Source organism: Homo sapiens, chromosome 14 (genome assembly GCF_000001405.40).
Source record: "Homo sapiens chromosome 14, GRCh38.p14 Primary Assembly".
In the NCBI taxonomy this organism is placed as follows: domain Eukaryota; kingdom Metazoa; phylum Chordata; class Mammalia; order Primates; family Hominidae; genus Homo; species Homo sapiens.
Window position 1 is genome coordinate 40463492 of NC_000014.9, and position 2652 is coordinate 40466143.

General features: G+C 43.9%; 1 annotated feature.

Annotated features, from left to right (window-relative positions):
- Positions 1490–2213: an enhancer, noted in NCBI's record as "NANOG-H3K4me1 hESC enhancer chr14:40934185-40934908 (GRCh37/hg19 assembly coordinates)". NCBI's record gives its function as "activates a minimal SCP1, AML or CMV promoter by ChIP-STARR-seq in naive H9 embryonic stem cells {active_cell/tissue: H9 hESC(naive)}" and the evidence as "EXISTENCE:reporter gene assay evidence [ECO:0000049][PMID:30033119]".

Below are 2652 nucleotides of genomic sequence, written 5' to 3' on the forward strand. Positions count from 1 at the left end.
TCTATTCTTTTCAGTCATACATTATACTTTCAAATAAAATGACTGGTATTTTACTTAATATTTAATAGAAAAATCAGTTGAAAAGTTGTTTCTAAGCTGGTCATGGTGGTTCACCTTCAGTCTCAACTACTCGGGAGGCTGAGGTGGAAGGATCCCTTGTGCCTGGGAGTTCAAGCAGAGACTGGGCAACAAAGCGAGACCCTGCCTGTGAAAAAGAAAATATAAGTTGTTTCTTCAAAAATACATAAGATTACCTGAGCAAGGAAAATTGATAAAAGATAAAGGAAAGAAAACACATAATGGAACAAAAGAGTAATTCTTAGAAATTGAATTGATTATAAATGGGTATTATGAAAAAATGTATATCAGTAAATTTGAACATTGAGATGAAAGGGACATATTTCTATATAAACACTGTCAAAAACAAACAAACAAAGAAACCAGAAAATCTGAATGGTCCAAAGAAAATAGGAAATATTACATAAATTGAATGCATTATTAAAAACTTTCCCACAAGTGATAGACGGAGAAGGCTGATAAGGGAACCTACATGGGGTCTTGGCTGGGCATGCCTGCAGTGGACTGGGGGCCTGCACGTGCACGGGGCAGAATGGGGTGGAGCCACCGGGAATTAGTGCCATATGCATGGGGAGGAGCCAGGCCTCTTCAGCTCTTTTGTGGTGGCCTGGTAGTCAATCTGTAAGATGGGAGCCTGTAGGCAGGACTCCCTCTTTCTTTGCTGAGAGCGTTCTTTTTGCCTAACGAATCTGCTCTCCTCATCCTTCAGTGTGTCCATGTGCCTAATTTTTCCTGGTCATAAGACAAGAACCCGGATTTTAGCTGAACTAAGGAACAAAAATTCTGCATCTTTTTGGTGGCCCATATGGGGACGAGAAGTGGAGTGAGTAAAATGTGGAACAAAAAATTTATTTCCCTTTTGTTTCTGAGTCTTCTTGTCCTCAGTCTTCTTCTGAGGGTAGAGAAAACAGTGGCCCACCTTCCCGTTTGCTGTTGGGAGTTGGGAGTGTTGGCCTCGATCAACTCCAGCCTTTTCTATGGCATTTTCCTTCTTTTTTCAGGACTGTGATGGCACCTATCTTTTGTTTTACAATATTAGAGGTGTTCTACCCCTCAGTGTTCTGGCCCTCAGTGGCCACCCCAATGGCTGCAGGCATGTGCATGGGATGGATGGGTGAGCAGCAGCTTCCTGCACCCTTCCCTCCTGGCCGCGGAGCATGACTCTGTCCACTGCATATGTTAGTGGTGTCCAATGGCCATGCAGGGTGGGACTGAGCCACAGCCACTGCTCAGGCCCAAAGCAGCCTCAAGAGCCCAGGACCCACACTGCCAGCTGGCCAGCTAATATGGTTTGGCTCTGTGTCCCCATGCAAAACTCAGCTTGGATTGTAATAATCCCCACATGTTATAGGAGGGACCCACTTGGAGGTAACTGAATCATGGGGGAGAGTTTTGCCTGTGCTGTTCTTGTGATAGTGCATAAGTCTCACAAGATCTGATGGTTTTATAAAGGGGAGTTCCCCTGCACATGTCTTCTTGCCTGCTGCCATGTAAGATATGCCTTTACTCTTCCTTCACCTTCAGCCTCCCCAGCCGTGTGGAACTCTGGGTCCATTAAACCTCTTTCCTTTATAAATTACCCAGTCTCAGGTATGTCTTTATTTGCAGCATGAGAACAGACTAATACACCAGCATTTCCTGCCATGTACCCACAGAGTCTTCCCTTCCTCCATCTGAGGGGTCCAGCTTGGTCTTGGTCTGAGCCTAGGGAAGAAACAGCAATTTAAAGTTTCTCTCCTTGTTGGAGAAACGCATTTGCATAAGAGTAAGAGGTTTCTTCCCCAGGCATATTTTTCTTTTTCTTCACCCTGTCAGCAGTTAACACAGCTCTGTATTTAAGCTGTTTTTGTTTGTTTGTTTGTTTAAATTCCTTTTCTCCACCCTGTCAGCAGTTAACATAGCCCTGCATTGAAGTTTTTTTTCTTTTCACCAGGTCAGGAGTTAACTTTTAAGTGAGAGGCTTTTTTTTTTTTCCCCTCTCTTATAAGACGTTTTACTAGGCTAGGAGCCCAATTCACAAGACAAACTCTTCCCCGCCTTGTTGAAGGAGGACTCAATTCCACAGCTTTACTTTACCATTCAGCTTATGATAAGGAGTCTGTGCTATCCTTTGAGACACATTTTTATCCCAAACTAAATTTCAAGTCTCAGAATTCAAAGGTTACTGATAGCAGAGGAGATAGGGTATATGTGGGTAAGAATGGATAATGCCACCCCCTAGACCCCCTGTAAACATGGTTGAAAACCGCTTTGACAGAGTGGTGGCACTCTGTCATGGTCACCAGGACTCAAGGATATAAGGACTGGAGAAAGAAAGAGGGATGCCTCACTTTCTATCCTTCATGTACCCTGGGTATTTGCTAGGAAGAGGAGGGAACCATGGACATTTGCTCCCCTCTTTCTAGATGAGTAGCCATTCATCTTCAGCCTGCATGTCTTTCCAATGCATCCTGAGTCCTTTGAAGAAATGCCTTTTCTTTTTTCTTCCTCTGTCCTCTTTTCACAGATGCATGGTTATGTCCCCATGCTGCAGGACACTTCCCTCAGACATATCCTCCAAACAGGGAATAGTTA